Source organism: Homo sapiens, chromosome 13 (assembly GCF_000001405.40).
Source record: "Homo sapiens chromosome 13, GRCh38.p14 Primary Assembly".
Classification (NCBI taxonomy): Eukaryota; Metazoa; Chordata; class Mammalia; order Primates; family Hominidae; genus Homo; species Homo sapiens.
The window spans coordinates 72,120,227-72,138,032 of NC_000013.11; the positions used below are offsets into that span (position 1 = coordinate 72,120,227).

The 17,806-nt window shown below is 35.7% G+C and overlaps 2 annotated features.

Moving 5' to 3' along the window:
- Nucleotides 236-1,099: an enhancer, noted in NCBI's record as "OCT4-NANOG hESC enhancer chr13:72694600-72695463 (GRCh37/hg19 assembly coordinates)". NCBI's record gives its function as "activates a minimal SCP1, AML or CMV promoter by ChIP-STARR-seq in naive H9 embryonic stem cells {active_cell/tissue: H9 hESC(naive)}" and the evidence as "EXISTENCE:reporter gene assay evidence [ECO:0000049][PMID:30033119]".
- Nucleotides 2,564-3,114: an enhancer, noted in NCBI's record as "OCT4-NANOG hESC enhancer chr13:72696928-72697478 (GRCh37/hg19 assembly coordinates)". NCBI's record gives its function as "activates a minimal SCP1, AML or CMV promoter by ChIP-STARR-seq in primed H9 embryonic stem cells {active_cell/tissue: H9 hESC(primed)}" and the evidence as "EXISTENCE:reporter gene assay evidence [ECO:0000049][PMID:30033119]".

A 17,806-nucleotide genomic window follows, 5' to 3' on the forward strand; every position in this document is an offset into this window, starting at 1 on the left:
TTCTTTACAACATGCAGTAGGTACTGTATAATGACCTTTTCTCTGTTTGGAACAGGGATTAGAATAATACATTTGACCCTTTAAAGTCACCTGGGAGAGATGTTAGTCTCCATGTTCAATAAACTGAAATATGTCTCAAGTGTCCCAAGGTTAAGGCCATGACTTTAAACTATTTAACACAGAGTATCATACTGATTCACTTAGACTCTCAGACTTTTAAAAAAATTATTCAGCTGAATTATATATACTTTATCAGAACAATTTTTTTCTTCATACAATTAAAGCAAATATTTTACATTGCAAATAAAGCAAGTTAACCTAGATGCATTGTGCATTATAATAAAATTTATAGCTGCATAAATAGCAGTGTAAACTTACAGAAAGACTAGTAATTATAGTGCCATTGATGGTCTTTGTTGCTTTAATTCTGAGGCAGCCAGAATGATTAAACTGAATCTTAATCGACTTCTCCATTAAAAATGCTGGCAGAGGAGCTCCTTTAACCTTTCCCATTGATTGAACACAACAATCACCATTCAATTATAATGCAAAAGGACATTTGTTATAATGTAGAAAAGATGCATGAGCCATTTCCTTTTACTCAAGACAATCAATGAGATGACTCCTACTTCTACAAAGGTGAGAATGCTCTACCTGGGAGTCTGATAGAGTCAAAACTAAACAGAAACCTCTGCATCGTGCAGAGGAGCAGGACCATACAGAAGAAAATAATCTGGAACAGATTCATTAAGAAGAAATGTATTTTCTACCACTATTTATCCTAACCACATTTATCCTTGATATGTTGTTTTTCTTCCTAGGGTTTCAGAGTACCTGCATTATCATGATCAAAAGTTTAATGGTGAATTAATGATGATGGTCACTTGGCCTTTTATATGTGTTCTCAGTGCATGCTTAATCAGACAAATCAAGGCAATAGAGGTAATTGAAGTAACTGAATTTTAGACTAGGAAGTAGTCTTCAAGATTAACTGATTTACCTAAGGTCAGACAGCTAATTGTAACTAACCCTGACTAGGATCCGGGTCCATTAATGCCCCACTCAGCATGTGTTGATTTGTCACCTCTGAAGTGTATTTCATTTTCAGTTATGCTTTTTACCTGATTCTATGCTTGTATGGAATGCGCAGGTTCTGTACTTACATCATATAACCTACAACAAAAAACAAACTATGCAAGTATAGCTATGTTGCTCTGCATACATAGTGGTGGTATATTAAATATGGCCACGGATTCCTTTCTATTCCTCCTACTGAGAAGTGGAGTATAATACTCCTCCCCTTGAATTTAAACCAACTTAGTGCTATAGTATTGTGGCAAGCCATGTCTCACTAACGCAAGCCTCCATTACAACTGTCCCAGCACTGACTGAGTAGCTAGGTTAAACGTTAAAAGCTGATTAAGCCAGTGCCCTATACAATGGCTGGAATGTAACAAAGAGCCCACAGAGAGTTTTGTCTAGGCTTTTCCTGGGCCTTGAAGCATGACAATATAATGAAGGAATTCTTAACAGAGCCCATTTAGGATTAAACAAGTTTTACTGGGGGTCTGAAGAAACTCCCCAGGCCTCCACAGACAAGTTTACTGGGGTGTAAAGAAACTCCCAAACCTTTATGATTTAGCAGGAGACAAAGGGTAATCATCCCAGCACCTAGACCCATTTAGATGAAATAAACTTACTGAGGCTCCAGCAGAAGATCTTCAGGGCTCAGACCTTAGATATAGATTAAAAGAAGTTAATCACCAATGTCTTTAGATGAATGCATACTTGCACACAGACATATAGCTTAAAAGATATATAAGCTCTGGAAAACTTTGTAATTTTGAGTTGGTCTGGTGACAATTTCCAGGCCTTCTCCCTGTAACTGGTTACAGAAATTAAAACTCTCTTCCTCCCCAGTTCATCTGCATCACGTTATTGGACCACAAGAAACAGCAGCCCGATCCTCAGTTTGGTCTGGGAACAGTATGAATTTTTGTCCCCTACAAACCTCATGTTGAAATATGATCCCTGGTGTTGGAGGTGTGACCTAATGGAAGGCATGTCATGGGGTAGGATCCCTCACAAATGACTTGGTGCTGATCCTCATAGCAATATGAGAGTTCTTGCTCTATTAGTTTCCATGACAGTAGGTTTTTTAAAAGAGCCTGGCATCTCCCCCATCTCTCTCTTGCTTCCTCTCCTATCAGGTGATTTCTGCACAGGTTTAATAGCCCTTCTCCTTCTGTCATGAGTATATGCAGTCTGAAGCCCATGCTGGTGCCTTGCTTCTTGTACAGTCTGTAGAACTCTAAGCCAAATTAGTTTATTTTTCTTATAAATTATCCAGCCTCAGTTATTCCTTTATAGAAACACTAAGACATTTAGTGACTTGAGCAGTAAAATGTGGTGGAAGTGACATTTTGGGACTTCAGATGCTGTCCTATTAAGCCTCGCAATTTTTGCCCATGATTCTTGGAACGCTTGATCTTTGCAAGGCTAACATTTTTAGATTACCCTGTTATAAGGAAGCTGAAGACATCCACATGGAACATCTGTGAGGAGACAGAGAAACCCAAACATCTCTACTGTTCAGCTATCCCAGGCCAGGAAACAGAAAAGTAAGTAAAGAAGGCATCTTGGACATGCCAGGCCAGCAGGCAGGATGTGGAGAACCACTAAGGAAAGCAACTGATATCCTGTAGACCCGAGACATATAATCTAGCCAAACCATGACAACTGACCAGATGCCCTTACAGATCTCCTCAGCTTGACAAAACTTTAGACAGCTTTCTTTCTAACTATACAGCCACTGGCTCCTTTCTTAGAACATTTACTTTAAATTGCTTGCAATTGTTGACTGTCTGCCCTTTTGAGATGTAAATCTTCCAGCCTCTTGCTGGTTTTACAACCCAGGAATGCCTTTCTCAAGGCCTGGCAGAAGCCATTTTTAAAAAATTGAATCATCAAGAAAGATAGCTCCCATCTCCTACTTTCTATCACAGGGCAGGAGCCTAACTTAGCAAATACAGATGGCCTAATCACATTGATCAACCTCCACTCTAATGTCCTCCAATACTTTTTACACTAGCTTATCCAAGCACTTAAACTCTCTGACTTTTTTGTTTCCATGGAGTTGAGTTAAATCTCTCTCCCCTATTGCAATAATCTTGAACAAAGTCTTTCTTGCCATATTAACTCTATGTGGTGTGATTTTTATTTTTATTTTTATTTATTTATTTATTTTTGAGATGGAGTCTTGCTCTGCCGCCCATGCTGGAGCGCAGTGGCACGATTTTGGCTCACTGCAAGCTCCACCTCCCAGCTTCACACCATTCTCCTGCCTCAGACTCCTGAGTAGCTGGGACTACAGGCACCCGCCACCAGGCCCGGCTAATTTTTTTTGTGTTTTTAGTAGAGACGGGGTTTTACCGTGTTGGCCAGGATGGTCTCGATCTCCTGACCTCATGATCCACCTGCCTCAGCCTCCCAAAGTGCTGGGATTACAGGCGTGAGCCACTGCGCCTGGCCGTGATTTTTATTATGACACAACCAACCCAGCTATATATATGTTTCTCTCCATCTGAGACCCCACTCATCTAGAAGTAGATGAGTGGGGTCATCTACAGGAGAAATCACTCCTGTGGTGTCTGCCCCAATTCCTGACTCACAAAATCATGAGCATGATAAGATAGGTATAGTTTTATGCCCCTAAGTTTTGGTATGGTTTGTTATGCACAGTAGATAACTGGAAACTCTCTATTTCTCAGTCTCTCTCTCTCTCTGTGTCTCTCTCTCTGTATATATACATATATATATACACACACACATATTTATATATACATACATATACACACAGTAAGTCTTCACTTAATGTCATTGATCTTAATGTCATTGACAGATTCTTGGAAACAGCAACTTTAAACAAAATGATGTACATCAGGTGCTTGAATAATGTTTTCATGCGTGTCATTTTGTTATAACATTGATGAGAAAAAAACTCTGATTTCTAATCAACATCAACACCATTTTGCTTCAAGTCGCAGTTTCTAAGAACCTACCGAAATGTTAAGTGAGGATTTATATAGATATATAAATACATACATATATATACATACATACGTATATCTACATTTATCTCATATCTATATAATGTATTGATACAATCTATATTGATATATCATGTAGATGTCATTCATAAGCATACATTTCTAAATGCATTCAGTGGGGGCTAGAAGCCCAAAATTTATGTTACTAATTTACTTTGGAGCATGCACTGGAGGTTCAATGCATTTGGTTACTTAGGAGAACATGTACATCTTTACCTCAACTACATTGAATATGTGTCAAATCACTAAAACTAAAACCTTATTAGATGCATAATTATTTTGTAGGCACCTAAGCAACTGTTTACATGTAGCCAGCCCCAAATTCCCAGAACCCTCTTTCAAAAGTGAGCTTGAATGTACAACTATTAGAAATAAGTATTTTTAAAAGTAAATAAGACTACTTGAAATAGTCTATTAAAATAATAAAAGACAATAAAAAGTAAGACAAAAAAAGCAATATTTTCTCTGTAAATGACCTAAATTTGAAATGACCATCTTTTTAAAATAAGAGCAAACAAGTTTCAAATTTTAGGTTCAAAAGAGTAAATAATTGTTCAAGGTTCTAATGATACTTTCAAGAAAGGCATAATTCATTAGATTAAAATCATTTTGCTGTATTTCCAAGTTAACATGTACACTTTTGTGGGAAAAAAACACCATTTCTAAGTGAAGGAAAACTTAGAATATCTCTAAAACTGGCTTGACTCGACTACAGTGACCAGTTACTTCTGAGAAACTTGTTATGCATGGAGTCAGTTTTAATATTCGTGTTTGTCAACCAAGCCCTTTCAAGGGCATATCCGGAGGTCTCCTTAATGTCTAGCTCCACTATACTACTTGTGATGGGAAAAAACTTTCACAATCTATAATTTGAGTGTAAGGTCAAAGTATTTCTTCTCAGGACATTTTTGCTAAATCTTCTTCCTTATTATAGAAAATTAAAACATTTATGTATAAACCTCTAAAGTGTGTGTTTTATTGACTTATTTTTCATCTACTACATGGTTATATTCTACCTTATTAATAATTTTCCAGGTCATAAAATAAAAGCTGCTGTTTTATACTATTTTTTGAAAATATGTTGCCAATAGTGTATATACTTCACATATGTGTTTTGGGGAAGCAAGTGCCATAAAAAGAATACCCCAGTCCTGTTATCATGGTGGGCCACCAGTATAGCAGCTCTGAAATGGCTGGGATTATTAAAATGAATGTTTGAAGAAGGAACACAGAGCAGATTAAGTACTTGGGTTGACTCAGGGTAGGTTTGGAACTTCTCAAGGCAGGTTCTGGGCATAGAGACTTCAAGGCAGTATTCTGGCAAGTCGGAGATGAATTGATAAATTCTTCTCTTGGGCTGAAGGATTTACCCCCACGCTTAGGAAACAGGGCAAGCTTTGTCTCATAAATATGTTTTGATTGTATCACTTGTTGAGCAGAAAGCTTTGATGAGTGATTGCCTCAAGAATTTAAGTTCTTCCAAAGTCAACCTACTTGCATCACTTTTCACTGATGATGACTGTGAAGAAACGGATAGGTTCCTTAGTGATAGCATTGTGCCCTTGGACTCTCTCTGTTACTTAGTTTTATAATATGTCCTAGAATTTATACATTCTGGTTATGCCAACTTACCATGTGCCTTTCTTTATACTGATAGAATGACAGCAGTAATAGGGGAAAGGATTTAGATTAGGGTTTAAACAACTTTTTGATTATCGAGTTAAACAATTGTTTTAAAAATGTATTGGAATTTCTTTTGCTGAAAGGGTTTGTTTGGGTTAACTCTTTCCTAAGGGAATTTAAGTGACTCAAAGAACATATACTTCAGCATTTGCCATAGGCACGTAAAAATAAATCCCAGCCAGACCAAAGACAGAGTGTACTTTGGATTCCAAGTGACTATCTTGGTCACCAGGAAGCTGGCCTTAGAGTTTAAGAATATGATTCCTAGAACTTGCTGACAACTTGAAAATAATCTTTTTAGAAAGCACTTATATTTCAAATGTATTTGTAAATATACATTTTAAAATAAATGATCACTTTTGCATTTTGTTTGGTTTTGATTAATTATTGTCATTTTCCCTGAATTCAAACTTCCTTATATGCAGGTTTAATTTCTTGATACATTAGGTACATGTGGAAGCTGTGATGTCTTGGATCTAAGAGAGTATTGATAAAGTTAACTTTGCACATTTACACATTCATTTATTAAACCAATATTTAGTCAGGAAGGGCTAGGTCCAAGAATAGCAATGAATCATCAGTTGAAACAGAGTAGGGCACAAAAGGAATAAATAATATGGAGAGGAAAATAAAATAAAAACCTCTACCAGAGATCGGAAACTTTCCTTAGGGAAAGTAACTTAGGAAACGAGTAAGTGATTCATGAGAATGAAGTGGAGGAGTTTGCTAAGTGAATTCCTAGATTGGGGATAGTGAGGGTAAATGTCTGTTGGGGATGATAAACAAAAAGTCTTATTTTGTAAAATGAATTAAGAAGGTTTACGTATTTTTCTATTCTACAAAAACTTTTATACTCAAAAATTTTTCTTGAAAAATTTAAAGAACTTGCCCATCTGTAAATCTGAGCTGAAATTTTAAAAGCACACATCAGAGGAAGGGGCCAGACCTACTGGAGCAGGGTTTTTTGCAAGAAACGCAGGGAGACAAAGGAGAAGCAGCATTTAGGCCCCCTTTGCCCAGTATATTCTAGGTTAGCACCAGAAATATATATGGGTCAGAGCCAACCTTAGGCAACAGGGTCCTTATATTATTTGATTAAGGAAGTTTTGCCCTGCCCCTTGCATGATCAAGAGCTGGTGTATGGAAACAAGCCAGGCAAGAACCTTACCTGGATGCCATCCTGCCAGCTCAGCATTTGGGTTTGGGGAAGAGGCTAGCCTTTCCCCTGGCTTGATCAGATGCCTGGGATTCTAACTGTGTGTTCACAGTTGTGGGGAGAGGCAAGCTATTGACAGGAGTCACATATTTGTTCGTGATTGTTGTCAGCAATCCTGCCTGGCATGATGGAGACAGAGGGCTGGATTCTAAGCCTTGCCTTTGGTGAGTTGTATTATCACAACAACTCTGGGACAAATTCTTCTTTCAAAGGCCAGCCCTCAACAGATCAGTCTTGGACAGCTTAACCTGGGCTCTCAGAATTAATTGGAAAAAACGTTCTGAGGTCAAAAATGCTGGAATGCATTAAAGTGGGATTTTACTACAGAATTTTATAAAGCTCTGATTTGCTCATATGAGGACCAATTTTAAAAGACGGAGGTATAATATTGAGAGTTTCCCAAATTATCTTGGATGTTCACCTATTCACCTAGCACATGCCCTCTTTTGTGGCAATCTCTTGGAATTAGTGTTAAACAAAATTTATGTAACGCCACTTTATATCTATATAGATATTCATGGTTATATTTGTATTTCAGACTATACTAAACTCTTCAGCATTTAAGTGTGTACCTTCTATGTTCCATTTAATGGTTTATGGCTCTTAAGTATTTATCTCTTTCTTTGAGTTGTTGTAAATGGCATTATATTCTAATTTCAGTGTCCCTGTATTTGTTGCTAGTATATATAAATGCAACGGAGTTTTGTATGTTTACTTTACAAGTTGCTTAACTCACTTATTAGTTCTAAGATATTTTTGGAGATTTCTTGGGAATTTCTAGATGTCATGTGCAAGTAGGAACAGTTTCATCTCTTCCTTTTTGATCTGAATACATTTTCTACCCCTTATCTTGCTTTATTGCAGTGGCTAGATCATCTAGCAACATACTGAATAAGAGCTGTGAGAGTGGATATCCCTGCCTTGTTATAATTTTTGTTTCAGCTGTTAAACATAATTTAGAAACTCAAGAGAAGGAAGCCTATTGCATTTACTCAAATTTTTCTTTTCCTTCCTAAAGTTCCAAGATTCCATCCTTTATTGTTTTCTTTTGCTTAGAAAATTTACTTTTGCCATTTTTTAGGGTATGTTTTGGGATGTCAACCTATTTTACTATTATTCATTTATGAGTGTCTTGATTTCCCCTTCATTCCCAAAGGATGTATTTTACTAGATATAGGATTCTGGGTGACAGTTTTTTTTGTTTTGTTTTGTTTCAGTAGTTTAAAAATGTTTTGCCACTTTCTTCTGGCCTCCATGGGTTTGAATGAGAAATTTGCTGTCATTCCAATTGTTTTTCTTCCTTAGATAAAGTATCTCTTTTCTCCTGGTGCTTTTGAGAAGTTTTTCTTTATTTTGGGTTTTTCAAAAGTTTCATTAAGCTGTTTCTTGATGTGAATTTCTTTAAGTTTATCTTGTTTTGGGTTCATTCAATATCTTAAATATGTAGCTTTATGGCTTTTGTCAAACTTAGGAAGTTTTTAGCCACTATTTTTTTCTTCTATTTTTTCAGCCCTGCACTTTTTTTCTCCTACGAAATTCTAAAGACATAAATGTCATATCTTTTGTTAGAGTTCCACAGATTTCTGAGTCGCTGTTCAATTTTTTTTCGGTCTATTTTTTTCTCTCTCTTGTTGAGATTGGGTGATATCTACTGTTTAATCTTCAAGTTCACTGATTTCTTTTCCCTATTACCTTCATTCTGCTCTTAAGCCCATCCATTAAACCATTTGGATCTCTCTCTTAGCTTAGACTTTCTATTTCTTTGTTCAGGCTTTCTATTTTTTCATTTAAGAATGCTCGCAGTTGATTGTTGATGTATATTTATCTTGGCTGTTTAAAAATCTTTGTCAGATAACTCTAAATTTCTATCATCTTGCTATTGGCATCAATTGTCTTTTTACTCAATTTGAAACTTCCTCATTTCTTTGTATGATACATAATCTCCTGAAACCGGAGCATTTTCATACTATATTATGAGTCTCTGGATCTTATCTTGACTTTCTGTTACTTCTCTGGCAAGGAAAGGGTGGGGTGCTACATCTTTACAGCCAGGTGGAAGTAGAGGTATAGGCTTCTCGCCCTCCATTGACACCCAAGTGGGAATCCCCCTCATTATTGTTTTATGTGTGAGTTACAGCTTCCACGTGATCTTTACTGACATCAGTGGATATGACCTCATACCACTGGATGACAATGAAAGTTCTTACTCTCCAGTAGGCCTCCTCCCATATGACCCCCAGGGAGGAGAAGGCTATCTGTTTACTGTTACACAGGGGGTGGATCTTCAAGATCCACATGTAGTCTATACTGACACCATAATAGGGGCCTCATTCCCAGTTAGCAGAAATGAAGTTCCCGAAAGCTGACTTGGTCTTCTCTTATACAACCCTGGCTCGGGTATCAGGGTGCCTCATTACTACCTCCTGAGTGTGAAAGTCTAGACTTTTCACTTGGCCTTTGCTGGTGTGGGTATGAGTTGGCCACAGTTTTCTCTATGGTGTTTAGCTGGCAGAGAAGTTATGAACAAAATGTTTTCTTTCTAGACTGCCCCTTGCCTTGTACTTTAGCTAGGAAGAGCAGACATTAACTGTTTTCTTTTTTATTTTTTTCCAAAAAAATCTACATCCACCTTTTTTTCTGGATTAGTGGCTTTCACCAAGCTTGGATTATATGAGCAGAAAGAAGACCCAGAAAACTAATCACTACGTCATTCCTAGCCATTCCGCCTTCTTACTATATTTCAGGGTCTCTTTAAATTAGTTCTACAAACCGGGTGCAGTGGTTCATGCCTATAATCTCAGCACTTTGGGAGGTCAAGGCAGTGACTCAATTGAGGTCAGGAGTTCAAGACCAGCCTTAGCAACATGATGAAACCCCATCTCTACTAAAAATACAAAAATTAGCTGGACATGGTGGCACGTGCCTGTAGTCCCAGGTACTTGGGAGACTAAGACAAGAGAATCACTTGAACCCAGGAGGCAAAGTCTGCAGTGACCTGAGATTGCACCACTGCACTCCAGCCTGGGTGACAGAATGAGATTCCATCTCAAAAGATAAATAAATACATAAGTAAATAATAAAAAAATTTTGAAAAATTGTTCTACATATAATTTCCAGAGTTTTTAGTTGTGCTTAGCAGAGGAATAGGGAAAATCACATTGACTTCATCTTCCTAGAAGCAGAAGTCCAGTGATTCCTTTTAATAAAACAATTTTGCGAATTTTTACTTATTATAATATATCATTTTACATTTTTGATAATATTTAATGCTTTATTCTGTATTTCTATACTATTTTAATATTTCTTAGACAACATGTACTATGTTTTCTTTGATTATTTTCTCTAAGTAATGAAAGGTATACTTTTCTAACACTTGTATTAATGTTTAACAGTGTGTTTTTATAAAAACATAAATAGAACTAAGCTGCGTAAAAACTCTAAAAGAGGTATACTAAAGAAGAAATGGTATGACATTACTGCAAGTTCTTAAGGAGAAAATGAGTCGGTGGATGTCTCAAACCTCCTCAGTGGTTTTGGCTGTATTGCTCTGCCTAGATAATGCCTTTCATGATCCTTGTTTAGTATTTGTATTTCTTGATCTATGGTTAGAGTCACTTATTGGGTCACACAATAAAGTGATAAACCAATAAATTATAAAATAATCTCTATATAAGTGATTAATGATATGAAAAAAATTGAGGTGGTTTGAGGGAGAAAGAAAATTCCAGGGAAAGATGACAGAAAGTGGTTAAAATAAACCTGAAGGTTAGAATAAGCATAATAAGGAAGGTGGCATTCAAGCAGACTTGAAGGAGGCAAAGGAATAAGTCAACGGATATCTTGGAGAAGACCATTCTAAGACTGGGGAATAGCTAGAGCAAAAGCCCTAAGTGGGGAGGATATTTGGCATATTCAAGAAACATCAGCTAGGCCAGCATAATTGGAATATAGTGATTGACGAAGTCATACAAATGACATAAGAGAAGTAATAAGGGGGTCACCGAGACATGTGGGACCCTATATGTTATTGCAGACCAAAGCCATTTCAAGGTTTTGAGCAGAAACATGACATGATTTGACTTATGTTTTAACAGGCTCACTCTGTTTGCTCTGTTAGGATTACACTGGAGGGAATCTATGAGAAAAATGGGAAGACTTATCTGGAGGCAGAGGGTGATGAAATTTCCATTTCCTATCAGTTAGAAATTGCATGCAATTTTGAGGGAAAAGAACTTAAAGTAAGTGTTAAAATATAAATGTATATATTCTTTCACATTTAGAAAATTCTGTATCATTCCATCTAAAGCTGGCCTGGTGGATCCATGTTCATCAGGGAATCAGGGTCTTTCTCACCTTTTGCTTTTCCATAACGATCCAAGATACCTACTGGTACTCACCTATTTATTCCAGGTAGAATAAATTCAGACCTAGAATTGCAAGGCTAAAATAAAGAAGAAAAGAAGAACAAAGGGCTCATACCCACTCCCTAGGAAGTTTTCCTAACATTCCTTTAAGAGTTTCAATGACATTTCATCGATTATTTCTACCTAAAAGGGAGCCTAGGTAACTTGTCCCTTTAGCTGAACAAATTGCCTATGGTTTTGTTTCTAAGGAAAAAGGGGAAGAATGGGTATTAGGAGGCAACTACTGGTTTCTGCCACATAGTGTGATTTATAACCACGTTAGCACTATCTTTTAGAAATTCTCTATTTACATGGTTTCAAGTTTATAGTTCTGCTACAAATGAAATCCCTAAAGATTATCCTATCTGGAATGCTCTCAAGAGCTGCTTGAAAGTTCTTTCACATTTTGGTAGATGGAAAAATGAGGTTGGGTGCAATGGCTCATACCTATAATCCCAGCACTTTGGGAGGCAGAAGTAGGGGATCGTTTTGAGCCCAGAAGTTCAACACCTTGGACAACAGTGAGGCTTTATCTCTAAAAAAAAAAAAAAAGCCAAGTATGATGACACTTAGCTGTGGTCCTAGATACCCATGAGCCTGAGGCAGGAGGATTGCTTGAGTCCAAGAGGTCAAAGCTGCAGTGAGCTGTGATCACACCACTGCATTCCAGCTTGGGCAACAGAGCAAGGCCGTTTCTAACAACAACAACAACAACAACAAAAACTCTACAAAGAAAGAAAGAAAGGAAAGAAAGAAGGAAACATGACATCAGTTCCTCAACACTTCCTGCACTAAAACCCTTTGCCAAATAACTCTAAACTGTAACTTTCTAGTGACTGTCCCCTTGGACTCCGAGCAAGACCATGCCAGTTGCCCAGCTTCAAAAACTCTTCTCTTTGGCTCTTCTGTTATAAGAACTTGCTCAAGCTAGCCTGCTGAAGGATAAAAGAAACATGGAACAGAGTCCAGTTACCCCAGTCCTCTGAGAGAAGGCCAGCTTAGATAGGCCAATAGTCTATCTGCAAGTTCTTAAGGAGAAAATGAAACAGTGGATCCCCAAAGAGGTGAACAAGCTCAGCCAAGATCAAGAGATCCAATAGCCTAACAGGCTCCCATTTGATCCCAGACACCTGAACAACAGCACTTATTTTTGCTTATCACTGAGCTTTTGAGGTTGTTACTAGGCATTATTGTGGCAATTGATACCTGATACACATGGGGTTGGTATTATTCCCATATTTCCAGTAATGAAACAAATTTATCCTTTGTGAAGTATGTATTTGGTTATATCAATTGGTGAAGTTTGATATATTTGTTCAAGTTTTTTTCCCAAAAATAATAATGTACATTTATATGGATTCTCACACTATACCTGCAAATACACATCTGTGTATGCATACTTGCTTTCTACATATAATGAAACAGAATTATATTATTCTTTATATAGTTGGGTATCTGTCACATTGTCTGTGTAAATATACACAGGTTATCAGTTAAGTTTCTTATAGCCTTTCTTGTGGTCTGTGAAACGGTAGGTTTTCCTTTTCTGCATCTACAAAAATAAAGGTCATCTGAAAAATCCCATGTTGTTAAAATGAGAAATATATATATATATATATATATATATATATGAATGATACATGTTCCATATTGGGAACTTCAGAATATATAGTATAATTTAAAGGTAATTGCAAATGAGATTTTTTTCAATTCAATATAGCACTATTACTAACAAAAATTGAATTGCATACATCTGCATAGAAACAGTACAAATTCCTTTAGGATTTTATGAAAAAAAATGTTGTGGCGGGGAGCTGTTTAGGAAAAACCTGCGTATGATATGTAAAATGCTGGGCAGCTTTCTTCTTTTGAGTTTTGAAACTTCTGATACTCTTCCTTTTTGCTTTTGGGTTCAATAGATTAAAAGGCACTTGGTCATTAAATACCTTTGAAGATAGTTATCTGCAAATTTGACTTTGGGGTACAAATATACGGGAACAATTTGTAACCTGGGAAAGTGGTAGTATGAAAGAGTAATATTTGAACAAGAATTGCTTGAGGAAGTATTTCCTACTTTTGACAGGCATCAATAGCAGATGGTGAGACCTACTGGGAAATAAGTGCAAGTATTGAGAGAGGGAATACTGTATAGTTGCAAATATAAGATCTGATGCAGCAGAAATCTCTCTCTGGAAACTGAAGTTAAATTGCCCATTAATGTTTTATAAACACTTTTTCTAATGGAAGAGCTAAAAATTAATCAGAAAAGAAGAGGTATTTTGGATAGCAAGATTTGTGCAGAAATTTCTTAGGGTTTTCTGGAAGCAATAGGCTAGCTCTTTAGATTGTGTAAAATGTGCAATGGGGACAACACAACTTTTAAATTATTTTTTGGAGTTTAAGTTGTTTGAATGTAGCATTGAGTAAAATGTGTGAATGTTGCATTAGAAAAAAAAGACAGCAAATGTTTAGAAGAATAGAATTGAAGTTTACTTTTTCTAAATGATTATATACTGTTTAAAAAGTTTTCTATCACATGTCATAATTTCATTCTTAATATATGAAAAATAAATTTGTTCAAAAATCAAGATTTTTAAAATACACATAAAATTAATTTTAAAATAATGTAAAAATATGTGAATTAACTTTTCATTGAGAATCTAATAATCCAAACACCTTCTCATAGTCACACAAAGATACACCTACACACACATACACAAACACACACATGCCAAATATATAACCATTTTACTTAATTTTTTACTATATTAAAGTTGTTTCTACAATTGGAAGGTGTTTGCCATAATTTTATTTAAATGACTGAGTATGAATTTATTAAGCACCTTATTTTAGGACACAAAATCTAGCTACTACCAATATCCTGAAATACATGTGACTGACTAGCCTTATTGAGTAGAACATTTGGTTTAAACACATAAAACAATTAAATGTTTAAAATAAATCAGCGAGAATATGTTTGATAGCCAATATATAACTGAAGTTATAATCTAACAAATATTTCTCCTTATGATCAAGCATCTGCCCTTATGTACGATCATTTTCTGTGAAACAGAAGAATTCACATGTCATGTTTACTGAAACTTGAGATCTACAGGAAAAAGGAGGAAGACAGAGAATCTTTACATATAAAAACAGATATACAAAATTAACATAAACATCTAAATATGGGCTGAATCATGATCCCCAAAATTTATATGATGAAGTTGTAACTCCAGTACTTCTGAATGTGACTGTATTTGAAGATAAGGTCTTTGAAGAAGTAATTAAGTTTAAATAGGGGTAATTAAGGTGGGCCCTAATCTGATATGGCTGGTGTCCCTGTAAGAAGAGGAGTTCAGGACACAGAGGGAAGCATAGGCCAAAGATGGCCTTGTCCAGCCTAGAAGAGAGGTCTCAGGAGAAACCAGCCCTGCTAACCCTTTATCTATTTCAGGCTTCTAGCCTCCAGAATTGTGGGAAAATTAATTTCTGTTGTTGAAATTAATTTCTGTGGTACTTTGATATGTTAGCCCAAGAAAACGATACAAATATATACTATAGAAAAAAATAAAATTATTTAAACATAAGAAAGCCAGTTCTTTGTTATTGTCATAATAGATGTCTTAGAAAAAGCTATGCTTCCTTTTATGTAATTTTCCAAATGGTGTTATTTTTGGGACACAACCACTTCTGCTATGAAATTTCTCTACATTTTGTATGTAAATTATTTATCCTCCATCTTCTTCTCTCCACCCAGGCTCACTCTCTTCTTTCTATTTTGCAGCAAGGATGTCTCATTATCAAAAATGTATGCTACGGTTAAGCCTAAACGGAGGCAAGTACACGAATATGTTAGACTTAAAAATCTTTCCATGTTTCCTAAAACTCTCTCTGAGGGAATTTCTCCTTTCTTAATAAGTCAGTTGTTTTTGTTTAACCACTAATTTCTCTTTCTAAGCATAAGGGTATATGTGACACAGATGATGACATTTTATGGGAAGATATTTTACTAATAATTGAGAAATATTACATCAGCCAAAAATAGCAAACATCCAGGTGAGTATTACTTTATATTTGTAGAAAAACTAAAGCATTTGTCTTGAAGTATCATTATTATACCGTAAAGACTAATTTTTAGTTACATTATTTTTAAAATAAGTCACCAAATACTACTGTATTATACCTCTATTAAAACATAATTCAGTTTTTAGTGACTATAAGGCCTTAGTAAAATATATATACTATATATATATAATATAGATATACTATATATACTATATATATTGTGTGTGTGTGTGTGTGTGTATATATATATATACATATACACTATATGTATTTCCCACACTATATTTGTCAAGCATCAGGGTCTTCCTATATTAATTTATTTAGCCAGTACATACTGGCCTGTTGACAATCATCCTCTGACAGGTGTAAGGTAGATTTTGTATTGGGTATCTAAGCCTTAGTCCACAGTATAAGATAAACTATTATTCAAACCACTTTCAAAGAAAGACAAGCTTCAGATGAAATGGGAGCCCTGGAAGCTGAATCTGGCTGAATTTTTTTATCTTTCTGAAAACTTTTTCACCTAAGAGGTTGTAGGAGTCATAAAATTTCTTGCGACAGGCATTTAGGAAGTTCAGGATGCTGATGACTGTACTCTGGAAGCATTCACATAAACACAAAAGACATGTAAATTGTAGACCATTTGGAAAAGTCAGCACAAAGGTAAAGACTGAAAATTAACCTGAAGATAGATCTACCTGCACTAGGGGAATCCGATAACAATCAAAGATCTTCATTGATGATTCAGAGCTAAGTTTCTCCCAGATTCTGCTCTCTCAGCAGTATACTGTCAAAACCAGTCGACTAATAAAAGCAGGTCAGAAAAACAATTATTTGCAGAGCTAAGAGGCTCAAAACTGCAATTCTACATCTTCAAGTTCTAGCCCAAGTCAGATGTTGGTTTAAACTTTAGACATATATATATATATATATATTAGAACTCAAAGCATGTCAAAGAATTCTGGAAAGAATTTAAAAATTAAGTTGGTGATTGTTCTAAAACAGTATTTAAAAAAAGAAAGCAAAAAGAGAGATTATTTAGAAGGAGAGAAACTATTGCAGATACAGGATCCTGTTGGTTACAAAAAAAAAAAAAAAAAAAAGCTACCAATTCAACCGGGGGAAAAATCTTGGTTAAATCAGTTGCTTGGTCTTGTATAGACAAAACTGAGAATTTCTTATTGAATCCAAACTCATTGTTTGATTCTCTGATAGTTTGTACACATGGAGCATGTTACCATTGAGAGTATGGATCCAAAGATAAACTACATTGGTTCAAATCTCAGCACTTGCTGTCTACGTACTTTTGGAAATTTAGCCTGGGGCTCAGTTTCTTCATCTACTAAAGGAGAAGCTAATTACACCTCCTTAAAGTCTCGGGGAATTAGATGATCAATGCATGTAATATACTTCACAGAGAGCCTGGAATAAGTAAATACTTAATCAGTGATAACTATTATTATTTAACAGTCCAACAAATATTCAATTCATACATGAAGTAGATAATAACAAAATCCTCCAATGTAAAAATATATCTTAAAAGTAAAAGATGTTTAGGCTTAAGGTATATATTTGGCATTATAAAATGGCTTAAACAGACTTAGGATTTTTCATGCCTGGCCTCATAATGACAAAATATCCTTCTGAAATGCCCAGATTAAGAATTAAGAAAGTAGTTCTACACCAGGCAAGGCATTTAAAAAAGACAGAAACATTTTCTATATCACTATTCTTGGAAGAAATAATTTTCATGGCCAATAAAATTAGGTATATTTTCCCCCAGTTTGCAAAACGTCTCATAATTTATGTGCTGTTGAAATTCTATGAGTTTTTAATTTTAGTGATGGTATACTTTATTCTATAATTAATTGATTCTTTCTCAAATTTTCTCTTCTTTCCCCATTGGTCCTGTTCTGTTACTTTGGATATTATATAAGTTTTACTCCCTGTTCTCAAAATATTTGAAATACAAAGAAAGAAAAAAAAGAAAACCAGTGTTTTGTTTTCTCATCAGCATACCAACTCTCAGCATTCCCAGCCTGGGATGTGTGTGTGTGTGTGTGTGTGTGTGTGTGTGTGTGTGTGTGTGTGTGTGTGTGTAGAAAGAGACAGAGACAGACACAGAGAGAGAGAGAGAGAGAAAGTATTTAGTGATTTTTAAAAAGCACTGGGAGAACTATCCAATGTTTTTTACTCTAAGAAAAATTTAGAACAGCTGTGGAGGCTGGGATCCCAGGGAAAATGAGGTAAGATTCCAGGTGCTGTCTTTGGCTGCCAGTTCTGTAAAACAGTATTGTATTAAGATAAATAAATAGATAGATAAATAAACA